The sequence below is a fragment of the Homo sapiens genome, chromosome 15, assembly GCF_000001405.40.
Source record: "Homo sapiens chromosome 15, GRCh38.p14 Primary Assembly".
NCBI lineage: Eukaryota > Metazoa > Chordata > Mammalia > Primates > Hominidae > Homo > Homo sapiens.
In genome coordinates, this window is record NC_000015.10 from 84,711,715 (window position 1) to 84,728,899 (window position 17,185).

Sequence of the window (17,185 nt, forward strand, 5' to 3'; positions counted from 1 at the left end):
TGCGGTGAGCCGAGATCACGTCACTGCATTCCAGCCTGGGTGACAGAATAGAGCGAGACTCTATCTCAAAAAAAAAAAAAAAAAAAAGAAGCCGTACTCCAAACAAAGGTAAGAATACAAATAAAATAGTATATGACTATTAGCTAAAAGGACCTTAAAGATCACCTAATATTCTAGGGTGGTACCCAGAGACTAAGAAAGAATACAAGCAGCACTGTTAAAAATCAATTAATTTAAACAACTTGGCTGGGTGTGGTGGCTCACATCTGTAATTCCAGCAGTTTGAGGATCCGAGGTGGGAGGATCACTCGAGCCCAGGAATTTGAGACCAGCTTGGGCAGAATAGCGAGACTCCATCTCTACAAAAAATACAAAAATTAGCCAGGCATGGTGGCACACATCCATAGTCCCAACTACTCAGGAGGCTAAGGTGGGAGGATTGCCTGAGCCCCAGGAGTTCAAGGCTGCAGTAAGCTGTGATTATGCTACTGCACTCCAGCCTGGGCAACAGAGAGAGACCTTGTCTTAAAAAAAAAAAAATTCTAAGAAACCCAACATACCTCTACCTCTATTACAAAGCCCAGAATCCAGTACACTGACAACATGAAATACTGGGGAGGATGTGGAGCAACAGGAACTCTCATTCATTGCTGGTGAAAGGCAAAACAGTACAGCCATTCTGAAAGTGTTTTATGGTTTCTTACAAAACTGAAACATACTCTTTTCTTTTTTTTCTTTTTTTTTTTTTTTTGAGATAGAGCCTTGCTCTGTCGCCCAGGCTGGAGTGCAGTGGTGCGATCTGGGCTCACTGCAACCTCTGCCTCCCAGGTTGAAGCAATTCTCCTGCCTCAGCCTCCTGAGTAGCTGGGATTACAGGTGCGCACCACCATGCTCGGCTAATTTTTGTATTTTTAGTAGAGACAGGGTTTCACCATGTTGGCCAGGCTGGTCTTGAACTCCTGAGCTCAGGCAATCCACCTGCTCGGCCTCCCAAAGTGCTGGATTACAGGCATGAGCCACTGCGTCCAGCCTAAAAACTGATTAAAACTCCAAAGAATACATACTCTATGATTCCATTTATATAAAATGCATACCCCTCTATACTGACAAAAAGCACATTAGAGGTGGGACAGAACGGGTCTTGTAGGTGATATATACGTTCTATATCTTGATTGTGATCAGTATACGTAAGTATAAAAACTTATCGGCCGGCCGGGAGCAGTGGCTCACGCCTGTAATCCTAGCATTTTGGAAGGCCGAGGCAGGCGGATCACAAGGTCAGGAGATCAAGACCATGGTGAAACCCTGTCTCTACTAAAAATACAAAAAATTAGCCGGGTGTGGTGGCGGGTGCCTGTAGTCCCAGCTACTTGGGAGGCTGAGGCAGGAGAATGGCGTGAACCTGGGAGGTGGAGCTTGCAGTGAGTCAAGATTGCACTACTGCACTCCAGCCTGGGCAACAGAGTGAGACTCCGTCTCAAAAAAAAAAAAAAAACACTTATCAAATGGTACACTTTAAATGGATGGAGTTCATTTACTAAAGTATTCCTCTGTGGATCTGATAAGAAAAAAAAAACAAAAACTCAAAGCAATCAGACATTTAACATATATGTAATATGTAATTAGGTATAAGCAGAGAAGTTATGCAAATAATAGCAACTTTTAGAGGAATAAAACAAAATTCTAGTTTCCCTCTTTCGTCTGATTCTCAGTATCTACATGTATTGTCAATTCTTCCTCCTAGATATTATGTACAGATAAAGATCTCATTTCATAACTCTCCCTCACCCCATGTTATCCAATCCCTCCTATCCATTCCTAACAACCTCTGGGAGGCCAGGGAGGATAATTTTACCATTTAAACTTCCACTAACCCTGAATGTCCTAGATGCAATGAATTCTGAACCACAATCACTCCATATTAGAGAAACACAGGGCAGAGTAGCCTATTCATTGTATCTTCATGTTTCTGTTCTTTCTTCCTGTCCATTTTATTAGAGCAGGAAGAGTACCTTATATATCTCTATGCTTTAGAGCCTATCTAGCAGGTTTGCAAGTGCTGAGTGAATTCCTTCCCTTTTGATTATTGGAATGCTAACCAACCCAGGTTAAAGATGAAGCTATTAAGGTCTTTCAAGATCCAACTTAAATGCTAGTTTCTCCTTGAAGCTGTTCGTAATGCCCTGACTGGAACCTCTCAAAATTTTCCTACCACTGCTAGAACAGGTCATATCCTTCTTTATCCAAGTGTTCAGGCTTTAAAGTAAGACCTGAGATCAAATCCACATCCTGCCATATACCTTCTTTTTTTTTTTTTTTTTTTTTTGAGACGGAGTCTCACTCTGTCACCAGGCTGGAGTGCGGTGGCACGATCTCAGCTCACTGCAATCTCCACCTCCCAGGCGATTCCCCTGCCTCAGCCTCCTGAGTAGCTGGAACTACAGGCGTGCGCCAACAGGCCCAGCTAGTATCTGTATTTTTAGTAGAGAGGGGGTTTCACCATGTTGGCCAGGATGGTCTCAATCTCTTGACATTGTGATCCGCCTGCCTCAGCCTCCCAAAGTGCTGGGATTACAGGCGTGAGCCACCGCACCCAGTCTACCTTCTGTCTTAAGCAAATCACTAAAGCTCTCTAACAATGACATCGACCACAGTACAGCCAATACTCACCATGTGCCAGACACTCTTCTGAGGGCTTTATATGAATTAACTCATTTAATCTTCATAGCGACCCTACGTTTGCACAACATAGTGAATGCAACTAATGTCAGTGAAGTATACACGTAAAAACGGTTGAAATGGAATATTTTATGTTGCATATCTTTTTACAACAATAAAAGTAAACATAGGCACAGACAGGTTAAGTAATCTGCTCAAAGTCACACAGCCAGTAAGTAGCAGAGCTACTTCAAACCTCTGAAATCTAGCTTTAGAGTCCATATTCTTAACTTCTATACTGTATTGCTTCTCACAAAGTCTCATTTTCTTCATGTTTAATAAGAACAACGTTACCTACCTTACAGGTGTATAAAGTGCTTCACACATGGCAAGAGCTCAAAAAAGTTATTGTTTTGCCTTAGTCCTTTTCTACACATTTAGGCTCCTTGAAGGCCGAGTCTTTCTTAACTATCTTTGCATTTCTCTCATTGTACCTAGCATAGAGTACAATAAATATCAGACTCAAAATAAATACTTTCCTCAGAGAAATATCTGTGGCATCTAGAAATCCAAATATGGATTAAAAAAAGACAACACTATACAAGTAAAAATTTGAAGTGTTGTCATAAAGACATAAAGTAACGTTTGCGCAATTTTTATAGAATGCTCAATTCTGACTGACAGAATTGACACTGAGCTAGCTAAGGCCTGAAGGGGAGTAAGGAAAGGTTGTGTATCTACTTCCCTAAGTGGCAGTTATAAGTACAAAAAATGCAAGTCCAAGGAAAAAAAATCCTTAATGGTGACATCAGGATAATCATAACAGTAAAATACTGTTTAAAACAAAAAAAAAGTCCGATGCAGCAAAACTAGGCTCTACAGACACACTAGGCGCAAAAGATAAAACAGAACAACCTTTTCTAAGGACTAAATAATTACAACAATATTCTCAGTACTATTTGGCATACGATCTAGAAGATCAAAGTAAAGTGTAAGGACAAAATCAGGAGACCTACATTTCCAGATCCCCGTGGCACTGATATTGGACTGTAAAACCATAGATTCCGAGGGCTGCCGCCTTAGTGCTAAGCGGACGCAAGGGCAAGTAGTGTAACTGTTCCAACTCGGAGCCCAGAGTGGTCCAAGTCAAAGTCGGTGCAGCCCGCTACGGTTCAGCTCTACTAAAGGGTTGCAAGGAGCTGAAAGCAGCAAAACGGTTTTTGTGGGGCCTCCAATCGCCTTCCTGAGCGCCCCAGAAACCGGCTAAACCTCGTCTCTCCCGAAACCACCTGGAGTCGCTCCGACTGGAGAAATCAAGAGTCCGCCGCCTTAAAATGACTAAAACAATAAGCAACCCCAACTCCCACTTCAAGCGCGTACGGTTTCCATTTGCTCCCCTGCCTCAGTGGGAGGAATGGAACGTGAAGACACCGCTTCCCGCCCCGCCCCCGGTAGGCCCTGAATCAGTTCGGGGTTAAAAATAATGAGGCGGACAAGGCGGCCTCTGGCCACAGTCTCCAAAGAAAGCGAATGACCCGGGTATCAGACCAGCTCAGACCCTCACACCAGAACCCTGGGGTCCGCCGGGCCCCGCAGCAGCAGCCTCGAAGGGACAAGAAGAGCCAGGAGAAAAAGAGGACGGACAAGCTCACCTGCCGCTTGTTCATCCGCCGCACATCGTCCAAAAAGTCTAGAGACAGCATGGCGGGGACGGCGAGCAGGACACCGGCAGGGGAAAGGGCGCGATGACCAGCGGGCGGAACTACTGGAGCTCGGGTCGGGCTCACACTGGACAGGACCCCGCAGTGCTTGCACTTCCGCTTCCGGGGCGGGAGCTGGCACGGTCGGGCACGGTCCCCGCCCCCCGCGCCCCTTCGCTGCGGAGAGCTGACAGAGAGACTCACGACCTTGCTAGTCCAGTCTCAGGGCTTGGCCTCGCCGTGGGAGGGTTCTCACGCTCTGGCTCTCGCCTGCCAAAAACCGACTGGACGCCACTTCCCGCGCTCGGCCCCGCGGCCCTTCACCGAGGCGGCGACCCAGGCTTAGTTGGGGAGGCTGCTCTGCCACCTTCGGAAGGCGGGCCTCTGTGCCCGCCCGGCCAATCGCGAGCAACCTCTCCGGTGTGGGCGGGTAGAAGCGGTTCCGCGTCCCGGCTTGGGTATGGGTGTGGCAGTGGATGTGTCGTCTGACCGTAGGTTCTCTGGTCGAGCAAGTCTCCTGCGCTATGGGAAGCTGAGGAGGTGCTTTCTTTCTTTCTGTCTCTGTCTCTCTTTCTTTACGTCTCTGTCTCTGTTGAGGTGCTTGCTTGCTTGCTTGCTTACTTTCTGTCTGTCTGTCTCTTTCTCTTTTTCTTTCTCTTTCTCTCTTTCCTTTCTTTCTCACTGTGTCGCCCAGGCTGGAGTGCAGTGGCGCAATCTCAGCTCACTGCAACCTCCGCCTCGCGGGTTCAGGCGATTCTCCTGCCTCAGGCTCCCAAGTAGCTGGGACTACAGGCGCGCGCCACCAAACCTGGCTAATTTTTGTATTTTTAGTAGAGACAGGGTTTCACTATGTTGGCCAGGCTGGTCTCGAACTCTTGAGCTCAGGTGATCCGCCCGCCTTGGCGTCCCAAAGTGCTGGGATTACAGTCGTGAGCCACCGCGCCCGGCCATCGAGGTGCTTTCAATAAGTGCTTTTCGCGTAAGGTTGGACCGTGTGAGAGACCTTCCGAGCACTGCCTGAGCCTGCCAGGAGTTTACAGTCCAATTGGAGAGAAAACAGCCCGGGAGAATTAGAAAACATCCAAATGGTGCAACAGCGTGATGAGACCACCAGTGGTGTGGGTCGTTAGGAAGTGGCTTCCTTTCTGACCTTGACTTTGCTGACAGGATTTGACATGGTCTCCTTGAATTCTACCTCCTGGTTTTCTTAACTTGGACACCTTGAAGTGACTATCTTTTCGCTACCTTTTGCTTTGACTGGCCAAAGCTCCTAATACGCACTTCAGTCAACAAAGACTAAAGCTGGATTACTTGGTATCATTTCTCTCTCTTTTTTTTTTTTTTTTTTTTTTTTCAAAATAATCCTTCTCTCCCATTAGGGAAAGATGAATGAAGGATATACTGGAACTCTTTGTAGTATCCTCGAAATTCTTTAAATGGAAAGTCATTCCAAAATAAAAACTTGAATTTATTGGAGGATGGCTGTAATAAAAAAGACAAATAATAATAAGTTTAGGGGAAGATGTGAAGAAATTGGAACCCTCATATACTGCTGGTGGGAATGTAAAATGGTGCAGCCACTTTGGGAAATAGCTGCAGTTGCTCAAAAGGTTAAAGATGTGCCGTCTGCAGTGGCTCATGCCTGTAATCCCAGCACTTTGGGAGGCTGAGGCAGGCAGATCACCTGAGGTCAGGAGTTCCAGACTAGCCTGGCCAACATGGTGAAAACCCGTCTTTACTAAAGATACAAAAATTAGGCGGGTGTGGTGGTGGGCACCTGTAATCTCAGCTACTGGGGAGGCTGAGGCAGGAGAATCGCTTGAACCCAGGAGGCAGAGTTTGCGGTGAGCCGAGATCGTGCCACTGCACTCCAACCTGGGCGACAAAGTGAGACCCTATCTCAAAACACACAAACAAAAAAAGGTTAAAGATGGAATCACCATATTAACCAGCAATTCCACTGCTAGGTATATACCCAAGAAAATTGAAAACGTTTGTCCACACAAAAACTTGTACATGAATGTTCACAGCAGCATTATTCATAATAGCTAAAAAGTGGAAATAACTGAAATGTTTATCAACTAATGAAGGGATAAATAAATGTGGTATATTGGAATAATGTACTAATAATTCCGCTGGTACAATGGAATATTAATCTGGCAACAAAAGGAAATACTACAACATGAATGACCCTTGAAACAGATTTAGTGAAAGGATCCAGTCACAAAAGACAAAGCATTGCATGATTCCATTTAGGTGAAATATCTAGAATAGACAAATCCACAGAGATGGAAATCAGTGGTTGCCTAGGGCTGGGAGAGTTGGGGAAAATGGGGAGTGGCTGCTAATGGGTATGGAGTTTCTTTTAGGGGATGCTAGTTCTACAACTATGTGAATATACTCAAAACCATTAAATTGTACACTTTACACTGGTGAATTGTATGGTATGTGTATTATATCACAATAAAGCTATTATGAGAAAGAAAAAGAAACCACTGGTGTCTGGCTCACTGTTAAATTCCTAGTGGTGAACACATAGCCTAGCACATGTTATACCCAATAAATACTTGTTGAATTTAAAAGTGTGTGTGTGTGTGTGTGTGTATTTTTGTCACCTCCAAAAACTGCTGCCTCTAGGCACCCCACACTTATTGAGTTGAAAAAAAATTCCTAATTTATCCAATTTAGGAAGACTTGTGGAAGAAAATACATGTGAACTCCATGAGGACAGGGACATTGTCTTGTCCACCCCTTTATCTCCAGCTTCCATAAGAGTACCAGACATGTAGCAGACACTCAATAAGTATTTGTTAATAAATGTTAAATATGGGTTCTAGTCTAAATTCTCGCTAGTAGAACCCTTGGCCTATGCCTATTAATGTTGAATTCAAATCTAAAAGTGAGCGCCAGCAACTATTTAAATGAGTATCAATCTTGTAATGTGTAGAAAAGAGCCCTAAGAGAGGCGTAAAGTCCTGTGGAGTTTCAGATGTGGCAAAAGTCAGTTCAGTTGGGGAGGCTTGTGGGGAGCTTAAAAAGGGTGTCAGGCCAGGCACGGTGGCTCACGCCTGTAATCCCAGCACTTTGAGAAGCCAAGGGGGAAAGATCCCTTTGGCCCAGGAGTTCAAGACCAGCCTGGACAACAAAGTGAGACCTCTGCTCTACTAAAACTAAAAATTAGGCCAGGCACGGTGGCTCATGTCTGTAATCCCAGCACTTTGGGAGGCCGAGGCAGATGGATCACCTGAGGTCGAGTTTGAGACCAGCCTGGCCAACATGGTGAAACCCCGTCTCTACTAAAAATACAAAACTTAGCCAGGCATGGTGGCAGGTGCCTGTAGTCCCAGCTACTCGGAGGCTGAGGCAGGAAAATCGCTTGATCCCGGGGGGCAGAGGTTGCAGTGAGCCAAGATCACACCATTGCATTCCAGCCTGAGCAATGGAGTGAGACTCTGTCTTAAAAAAAAAAAGAATGCATGAGAAAGGAACGGGACCAGGGGAGAGTGATATAAACTAGGAGGATCTGCAAAGGCTTAATGAGGTTTCTTATACTGCTCGGTGTCTCTTATGAAAATAATTCAGATATTTAGGACAGGTGATCCCAGACTTGATATAAAGCCTAAGGAATTCAATTTTCCAAATGTGGGACTCTGACATGCTATTTTCTCTGCCGACTGGGATGGCAATCTTTCTGACACATAAGTCTTTTGGGCCCTGTCAATCACAGTGTTATGTCTGGCATTTTCCTTTACAGAGAGCCTGCTGGCCCCCCTGAAGGAAGCATCTTAGTATAGAAGTTAAGTTAGACCCACTTGGCTTTGAATCACAGATCAATTGCCAGCTGTTTGATCTTGGACCAATTAGTTAACTCTTTTTCCAAAAAAATTTATTTAATTTAATGTTTCTACAGACAGAGTCTCACTCTGTCACCCAGGCTGGAGTGCAGTGATGTGATCACCCTTCACTGAAGCCTAGACCACTGAAGCCTAGATTGCTCAAGCAATCCTCCCACTCAGCCTCCCAAGTAGCTGGGACTGCAGGCGCATGCCACCATGCCCAACTCAGTTAGCAATTTTTTAATCCCTAGTTTTCTGGTGTGTAAAGTAGGAATAGAAAAGAATTTATGTCATTTGAGGATTTAACAAAATAGTACATGTAAATAAGGCTGTTGGGGGCTGGGCATGGTGGCTGACGCCTGTAATCCCAATACTTTGAGAGGCCAAGGTGGGCAGATTACTCGAGCCCAGGAGTTCGAGACCAACCTGGGCAACATAGTGGAAGCCTCATCTCTACAGAAAATTTTAAAAATTAGCCAGGTGTGGGGACACATGCCTGTAGTTCCAGCTACTCGGGAGGCTGAGTCAGGAGGATCGATTGAGTCCTGAAAGTTGATCCCTTAGTGAGCCATAATTGTGCTACTGCACTCCAGTCTTGGCGACAAAGAGAGACTCTATCTCAAAAAATAAATAAAATAAATAAATAAATAAATAAAGCTGTTGTCACAATGGATGACAAATGGTAAGTGGACAAAGAATTTAATAATTATTCAAAACAAGAAGTGGGTTCAAACTGATACACAAATTCTAGGCTAGGAAGGTCTGTCATTATGGTTGAGCCCTGGTTAACCACTTCTGTACAAATCAAGGGTCTCTACCAGCAGAAGCAAAGTAGACGTCATGTGGGTTTTTTTGTTGTTGTTATTGTTGCCCAGGCTGGAGTGGAGTGCAATGGTGTAATCTCGGCTCACCGCAACTTCTGCCTCCTGGGCTCAAGTGATTCTCCTGCCTCAGCCTCCCAAGTAGCTGGAATTACAGGCATGCGCAACCACGCCTGGCTATTTATTTATTTATTTATTTATTTTTTATTTTTAGTAGAGACAGGGTTTCGGCATGTTAGTCAGGCTGGTCTCGAACTCCCAACATCAGGTGATCTGCCCCCCTCGGCCTCCCAAAGTGCTGGAATTACAAGCATGAGCCACCGCACCCGGCCTGACTTCATGTTTTTAAAACTCTATTAAAAATAATTATAATCTTACCAGTTTCTCCTTCACCTTCTCAATGTAGGAAGTGGTGGGTAGAAGCAGAAGGTCCTCTATGACCCTGCCAGAAAAGGAAGTGGCCCAGGCATATCACAGCAAGCTGGTGCATAGGCCACACTGGAGATGTGGCTCTTCCCTGGTGCCATCTCCCACAAGGATCTATCTCAGTTTGCTGGGGGCTGCCTGAGGTCAGGTCAGGTGGATGCAGAGATGGGAACTTTCTGCCTACCAACCCAGTGGCTATGGACATCAGAGACCAAGGTTTTAAAAGATGTAGCAGCTCTGTATAGGATGGGATGACAGAAATGTCATTCTCAAAAATCAAAGGCACCTTCTGTGCAGAGAGATTACTGGAGTCACCCAAGTCTCCCTGGAAGATTTTTGGAAAGCTCTCTTTAAAAAGTCCCAGACAGCTGCAGGGACAGCTGTAAGAGGGAAGCACCAGCCTTCTGGGTTGGTATGTGCGTATATGTGATGGGGGTTGGGGAGGACCCATCAATTTCCTGCTTGGCTATACTGCTTTAGCTGAAGAAGAAAGGGGCCTTGATGTTTGTTTTGTGAGTCCTTAGAGAGGAGAGATCCCTGTTGTGAATGTGGATGTCGTGTGGGTAGAGGATCAAGAGTGGGGACACCCTTAGCCTCTTCCCTCTAACTGGGCCTGCACCTCCTCCCTCTTGGAAAAGTTGCCTTTTGAGCTCTTGGATCTCATAGTTAATGACAGGGAATTGGCTCTTGATATCCCTCTTGATAGGTTAAGGGATCCTATAGGAATCTGTTGAGGCAGTTAATCACCACTGGAAATGTGGCTTGTGTAAATCTGGATATGGATATCCAGAATACAATCACATTCATTAGCAATCATTTATATATACATTCAAGTACTTTAAAATATTTACCTAAAGTCTCCTAAGAGCCTCTCTTCAAGGTACTCACGCTGAATCTGTGTGATTTGGCTACTGCCTCCTCTCCTTTTCTTTTAGTCACCCAGGCTGGAGGGCAGTGGCATGATCTCAGCTCACTGCAACCTCCCCCTCCCAGGTTCAAGCGATTCTTGTGCCTCAGCCTCCCGAGTGGCTGGGATTACAGATGTGCACCACCATACCTAGCTAATTTTTGTATTTTTAGTAGAGATAGGGTTTCACCATGTTGGTAAGGCTGGTCTCAAACCCCTGACCTCAGGTGATCCACCTGTCTTGGCCTCTCAGAGTGCTGGGGATTACAGGCGTGAGCCACTGCTCCCAGCAGGCTACTGCCTCTTTCATCAACTTGATATCTGACGTTCCTTGCCAACTTGTTACCCTATAGTCCAGACATACTCAACCATCTATACTCCAGCATATGTCATAGGAATTAAAGAAGTGATCTCTGGAGCCAAACTGCTCTAACCCTTACTGTGTGACTCTAGATGAGTTACTTTACCTCTATATGCCTCCATTTCTTCATCTGTAAACAGATATTTTAGCACCCAGGGTTTTTTAAATTATTATTATTAGAATTAAGTGAGCTAGTCTGGGTGCAGTGGCTGATGCCTACAATCCTAGCACTTTGGGAGGTCAAGGTAGGTGGATTGCTGAGGCCAGGAGTTTGAGACCAGCCTGGGCAACATGGTGAAACCCTGTCTCTACAAAAAACGCAAAAATTAGTTAGGCATGTTGGCACATGCCTGAAGTCCCAACTACTCAGGAAGCTGAGGTGGGAAGATCCATTGAGCCCGGGAGGTTGAGGCTACAGTGAGCCATGGTTGCACTACTGCACTCCAGCCTGGGAGACAGAGCAAGACCCTGTCTCAAAAAAAAAAAAAAAAAAAAGGATTAAGTGAGCTAATGAATAAAACCCACTAGAGCCAGGTGCAGTGTCTTACACCTGTAATCCCAGCACTTTGAGAGGCCCTGGCAGGAGGATCAGTTAAGCCCAGGAGTGCAAAGCCACAGTGAGCTATGATCCAACCACTGCATTCCAGCCTGGGTGACAGAACAAGACCCCTGTCTCTCTAAAAACAAACCAAACAGCGGGTGTGGTGGCTCACACCTGTAATCCCAGCACTTTGGGAGGCTGAGGTGAGCAGATCACAAGGTCAGGAGTTCAAGACCAGCCTGGCCAATATGGTGAAACCTCGTCTCTACTAAAAATACAAAAAAAAAAAAAATTAGTCGGGCATGGTGGTATGCACCTGTAATCCCAGCTACTTGGGAGGCTGAGGCAGGAAAGTCATTTGAACTTGGGAGGCAGAGGTTGAAGTAAGCCGAGATCGTGCCATTGCACTCCAGCCTGGGCAACAGAGCGAGACTCCATCTCAAAAAAACGAAACAAAACAAAACAATATACCACCAGAACAGTGCCTGACACTTAGTAAATCAGTAAATCATGGTTATTATCAGAATGTCCTCCCACTTAGAGGGCTGACAAACTCCTGCTTCTCTTCCAGACCCTGTCTAGGTGTCATATCCTACGTGAAGCCTGTCCAGACCGCCCCAAGTCAGAGTTAATTGCCTTTTCATTAGTTCCTCACCTGTTTCTTTTTTTTCTTTTTTCTTTTTTTTTTTGAGACAGGGTCTCCCTCTGTCACCCAGGCTGGAGTGCAGTGGTGTGATTACAGCTCATTGCAGCCTCTACCTCCTGGGTTCAAGCAATCCTCTCACCTCAGCCTCCTGAATAGCTGACACTAGAGGCAGGTGCCACGGCACCTGGTTAATGTTTTTATTTTTTGTAGAGATGGGTTCTTGCTATGTTGCCCAGACTGATCTTGAGCTCCTGGGTTCAAGCAATCCTCCCACCTCAGCATCCCAAGGTGTTGGGATTATAAGTGTGAGCCATTGTGCCCGGCCATATCTTTCTATCTATCTATTTTTTTTTTTTTTTGAGATGGAGTTTTCACTCTTGTTGCCCAGGCTAGAGTGCAGTGACTTGATCTTGGCTCGCTGCAACCTCTGCCTCCCGGGTTCAAGCGATTTTCCTGCCTCAGCCTCCTGAGCTGGGATTACAGGCGCCAGCCACCACATCCGGCTAATTTTTTATATTTTTAGTAGAGATGGGGTTTCATCATGTTGGCCAGGCTGGTCTCAAACTCCTGACCTCAGGTGATCCACCCGCTTCGACCTCCCAAGGTGCTGGGATTACAGGCGTGAGGCACCGCGCCTGGCCCCCATACCTATATTTTATATGTACTTTTTTTTTTTTTTTTTTTTGAGACAGAGTCTCACTCTGTCACTTAGGCTGGGGTGCAGTGGCTCGATCCCGGCTCACTGCAACCTCCTCCCCCTGGATTCTAAGCAATTCTCCTGCCTCAGCCTCCCGAGTAGCTGGGATTACAGGCACCTGCCACCATGCCTGGCTAATTTTTGTATTTTTAGTAAAGACGGGGTTTCACCATGTTGGCCAGGCTGGTCTTGAACTCCTGACCTCAGGTGATCTGCCTGCCTCGGCCTCCCAAAGTGCTGGGATTACAGGCATGAGCCACCGCACCCGGCCTATACGTATTTTTTTTTTAGACGGAGTCTCGCTCTGTCGCCCAGGCTGGAGTGCAGTGGCGCCATCTCGGCTCACTGCAAGCTCCACCTCCCGGGTTCACGCCATTCTCCTGCCTCAGCCTTCCCAGTAGCTGGGACTACAGGCACCCGCCACCAGGCCAGCTAATTTTTTGTATTTTTAGTAAAGACAGGATTTCACCGTGTTAGCCAGGATGGTCTCGATCTCCTGACCTCGTGATCCACCCGTCTTGGCCTCCCAAAGTGCTAGGATTACAGGTATAAGCCACCGCGCCCGGCCAGTATTTTTATATGTCCCTTATTACATGGAACTTCTATCATGTTCAATCTTCTGAATCTAAAATAAGGTGTCAGTGCCTCACCAGAGATTCTTGCTGTCCTAAAGAAAAGCTCATTAACACATTTGGGTCTATAACTGGTGAACTCAAACTGAACTGGTGAACGAATATTTTTGGGGTGGAGTACTTCCTGTGTTGGGCCTGCCTAGTCCAGATTTGTCAACATCCTGCCTCCCAACTCCCACTGTTAACTAGGCTGCCCAGAGAATAATGCACAATACCAGCCTCACCCCTCACCCTGGAGGCCCTAACCACACATAACTTCTTTCAGTTCCCCAAAAGGCTCTGGGCATTCCTTAAAGCCACTCTTTCTGGCATTCTCTAGCCCTTATTTCTCCCCTTTGCTTAGCCATTCTTTACTTAATCTTTAGGTTCCATCTTAGACATCATTCCCTCCACCCCCAACAACCAAAGCCTTCTCTTATCTCCCAAAATGGCTTAAATTATTCTCCCAGGCAGCCACTGAGCCCTTCATTCTTCCCCTATCACAACACTTATCACATTTTATTGTCATTACTTGTCTGGCTCTTCTGGTAAATTGTAGGCTTCACAAGCCAGGCAACATGTCTGTAAAGCTATCCCAAGTTGCAGTCCCTGGCCCATAGTTGATGTCCAGTAACTGCTGCTAGGAGAAAAAATGGGTCAGGTGTAATGGCTCATGCCTGTAATCCCAGCACTTTGGGAGGCTGAGGCAGGAGGATTGCTGGAGCCCAGGAGTTCAAGACCAGCCTGGACAACATAGGGAGGCCCATCTCTACAAAAAATGAGAAAAAAAATAGCTACGTGTACTAAAGCCTGGGCAACAGAGTGAGACCCTGTCTCAAAAAATAAAAAATAAAAAGAGAGAGAAAAGAAATGAACAAATGAATAAAAGGAAATGAGTGTTCATCAGCAGCACCTGCAACACATTCTCCTGCGTTTTTTCTTTTTTTTTGAGATGGAGTCTCGCTCTGCGGCCCAGGCTGGAGTGCTGTGGTGTAATCTCGGCTCACTGCAACATCCGCCTCCCAAGTTCAAGCAATTCTCCTGCCCCAGCCTCCCGAGTAGCTGGGACTACAGGCGCGCGCCAGCACACCAAGTTAAGTTTTGTATTTTTAGTAGAGGCAAGGTTTTACCATGTTGGCCAGGATGGTCTCGATCTCTTGAACTTGTGATCCCAAAGTGCTGGGATTACAGGCATGAGCCACCACGTCTGGCTTCTCCTGCCTTTTTATCTTCCCAAAAGAATCTGTGCACCTAGTTTTGTTTTGTTTTGTTTTATCGAGATGGAGTCTCTCACTATTGCCCAGGCTGGAGTGCAGTAGTGCGATCTCAGCTCACTGCAACTTCTGCCTCCCGAGTTCAAGCGATTCTCCTGCCTCAGCCTCCCAAGTAGCTGGGAGTACAGGCGTGTGCCACTACGGCCAGCTAATTTTTGTATCTTTAGTAGAGAAGGGGTTTCACAGTGTTGGCCAGGATGGTCTCCATCTCTTGACCTCATGATCCGCCCACCTCGGCCTCCCAAAGTGCTGGGATTCCAGGCGTGAGCCACCAGCACCCGGCCACACCTGAGTTTTTAAAAACAAACAAACAGCAGGGCACGGTGGCTCACGCCTGGAATCCCAGCACTTTGGTAGGCCAACATGGGCAGATCACTTGAGCTCAAGAGTTTGAAACCAGCCTGGGCAACATAGTGAAATGCCGTATCTACAAAAAATACAAAAATTAGCCGGGTGTGGTGGCACACATATGTAGTCCCAGATATTTGGGAGGCTGAGGTGGGAGGATCGCTTGAGCCAGGAGGTCAAGGCTGCAGTGAGCCAAGATTGCACCACTGCACTCCGGCCTGGGTGACAGAGCCCGACCCCATCTTAAAAAAGTAAAAATAGGGCCAGGCATGGTGGCTCATGCCTGTAATCCCAGCACTTTGGGAGGCTGAGGCAGGCGGATCACCTGAGGTCAGGAGCTCAAGACCAGCCTGGCCAACATGGTGAAACCCCGTCTCTACAAAATACAAAAATTAGCCGGACATGGTGGCGTGCACCTGTAATCCCAGCTACTCAGGAGGCGGAGGCAGGAGAATTGCCTGAACCTGGGAGGCAGAGGTTGCAGTGAGATGAGACTGTGCCACTGCACTCCAGCCTGGGTGACAGAGCAGAACTCTGTCACAAAAAACAAACAAACAAACAAAAACACTTAAAAACAAACAATGGAGAGCTGTACTGGAAACACTTAAAATTTAAAACTAGAGACTCTCAGAATATGAATTTTCCTCACTTCCTTCAAAATCCAGCTTACCCAATTAAACATGTTTTCAAAGAAAAAAAGAAGGAAGGAAGAAAAGAGAAAAAAAGTACAAAGAAAATACTCTAATGCTGAAATGCTAAGAGTGGTTTCTATGTCTGAACTGTCCAACACAATAGCCACTCACCACATGGGGCTCGTGAGTACTTGAAATGAGGCTTAGTCCAAATTGAGATGTACTGCAATTGATAAATACATCCTAGATATGGAAGACTTGGTATGAAAAAAGAATATAAACTACCAATTACACTGATTTCAAGAAGGGATGATCATACTTTTTTTTTTTTTTTTGAAGCAAGATCTCTCTTGACTAGGCTGGAGTGCCGTGGCTGGATCATAGCTCACCGCAGCCTCAAACTCCAACTCTTGGGCTCTAGCGATCCTCCCACCTCAGCCTGCAGAGTAGCCAGGACTACAGGCGCATGCCATCATGCCTGGTGTATTAGTCAGGGTTCTCTAGATGGACAGTACTAATAGCATAGATGTATATATGAAAGGGAGTTTATTAAGGAGTACTGGGCCAGGCGCGGTGGCTCATGCCTATAATCCCAGCAGTTTGGGAGACTGAGGTAGGCTGATTACCTGAAGTCAGGGGTTTGAGACCAGTCTGGCCAACATGGTGAAAACTCGTCTCTACTAAAAATACAAGATTAGTCGGACATGGTGGTGCATGCCTGCAGTCCCAGCTACTTGGGAAGCTGAGGTAGGAGAATTGCCTGAACCCGGGAGGTGGAGATTGCAGTGAGCCGAGATTGTGCCATTGCACTCCAGCCTAGGTGACAAGAGCGAAACTCCAGCTCAAAAAAAAAAAAAAAGGAGTATTGGCTCACACGATCACAAGGTGAAGTCCCATAACAGGCCGCCTGCAAGCTGAGGAGCAAGAAAACCATCCTGAGTCCCAAAACCTCAAAAGTAGAAAAGCTGCAGCTTCAGTCTGTGGCAGAAGGCACAAGAGCCCCTGGCAAACCACTGACGTAAGTCCAGGAGTCCAAAAGCTGAGGTGTCCGAGGGCAGGAAGCATTCAGCACTGGAGAAAGATGAAGGTCAGGAGACTCAGCAAGTCTGTTCATTCCACTTTCTTCCGCTTTTTCTTTTTCTTTTTCTTTTCTCTTCTCCTCTCCTCTTTCTTTCTTTTTTTGACAGAATCTTGCTCTGTTGCTCAGGCTGGAGTGCAGTGGCATGATCTCGGCTCACTGCAACCTCTGCTTCCCGGGTTCAAGCGATTCTCCTGCCTCAGCCTCCAGAGTAGCTGGGACTGCAGACGCCCACCACCACGCCTGGCTGATTTTTGTATTTTTAGTAGACACGAGGGTTTCACCATATTGGCCAGGCTTGTCTCAAACTCCTGACTTTGTGATCTGCTCGTCTCGGCCTCTCTAAGTGCTAGGATTACAGGTGTCAGCCACTGCATCCGGCCCTCTTCTGCTTTTTCTAGCTGTGCTGGCAGCCAAGGTGATGGTGCCCACTCAGATTAAGGGTGGGTCTTCCTCTCCCAGTCCACTGACTCAAGTGTTAACCTCCTTTGGCAACGCCCTCACAGACACACCAAGGAATGATACTTTGCATCCTTCAATCCAATCAAGTTGACGCTCAATATTAGCCATCACACCTGGCTAATTTATAGACAAGGTCTTGGTATGTTGCCCAAGCAGGTCTTGAACTCATGGCCTCAAGCAGTCCTCC

At 46.4% G+C, this 17,185-nt stretch overlaps 1 protein-coding gene across 7 annotated transcripts in view, besides 6 other annotated features; it reads right to left on the reverse strand.

The window, feature by feature from the left end:
• SEC11A (SEC11 homolog A, signal peptidase complex subunit) overlaps positions 1-4,425 on the reverse strand; it is a 46,596-nt gene extending 42,171 nt beyond the window's left edge. For 6 of the 7 annotated variants that reach the window (NR_073518.2, NM_001271921.2, NM_001271919.2 and 3 more), the window contains exon 1: positions 4,311-4,425. Coding sequence is in view for 5 of the 7 variants with exons in the window: in NM_001271921.2 (NP_001258850.1) it covers positions 4,311-4,361 (51 nt within the window). In the remaining 2 variants the exon portion in view is untranslated. Of the gene's footprint in view, positions 1-3,016; positions 3,153-4,310 lie in introns of all 7 variants that reach the window. The other variant, NM_001271918.2, reaches the window with a different exon arrangement.
• Positions 4,078-4,643: an enhancer, noted in NCBI's record as "H3K27ac hESC enhancer chr15:85259023-85259588 (GRCh37/hg19 assembly coordinates)". NCBI's record gives its function as "activates a minimal SCP1, AML or CMV promoter by ChIP-STARR-seq in primed H9 embryonic stem cells {active_cell/tissue: H9 hESC(primed)}" and the evidence as "EXISTENCE:reporter gene assay evidence [ECO:0000049][PMID:30033119]".
• Positions 4,099-4,168: an enhancer, noted in NCBI's record as "active region_9985". NCBI's record gives its function as "activates an Ori minimal core promoter by ATAC-STARR-seq in GM12878 lymphoblastoid cells {active_cell/tissue: GM12878}" and the evidence as "EXISTENCE:reporter gene assay evidence [ECO:0000049][PMID:35858748]".
• Positions 4,644-5,209: an enhancer, noted in NCBI's record as "H3K27ac-H3K4me1 hESC enhancer chr15:85259589-85260154 (GRCh37/hg19 assembly coordinates)". NCBI's record gives its function as "activates a minimal SCP1, AML or CMV promoter by ChIP-STARR-seq in primed H9 embryonic stem cells {active_cell/tissue: H9 hESC(primed)}" and the evidence as "EXISTENCE:reporter gene assay evidence [ECO:0000049][PMID:30033119]".
• Positions 4,839-4,958: an enhancer, noted in NCBI's record as "active region_9986". NCBI's record gives its function as "activates an Ori minimal core promoter by ATAC-STARR-seq in GM12878 lymphoblastoid cells {active_cell/tissue: GM12878}" and the evidence as "EXISTENCE:reporter gene assay evidence [ECO:0000049][PMID:35858748]".
• Positions 4,979-5,088: an enhancer, noted in NCBI's record as "active region_9987". NCBI's record gives its function as "activates an Ori minimal core promoter by ATAC-STARR-seq in GM12878 lymphoblastoid cells {active_cell/tissue: GM12878}" and the evidence as "EXISTENCE:reporter gene assay evidence [ECO:0000049][PMID:35858748]".
• Positions 5,210-5,773: an enhancer, noted in NCBI's record as "H3K27ac-H3K4me1 hESC enhancer chr15:85260155-85260718 (GRCh37/hg19 assembly coordinates)". NCBI's record gives its function as "activates a minimal SCP1, AML or CMV promoter by ChIP-STARR-seq in naive and primed H9 embryonic stem cells {active_cell/tissue: H9 hESC(naive and primed)}" and the evidence as "EXISTENCE:reporter gene assay evidence [ECO:0000049][PMID:30033119]".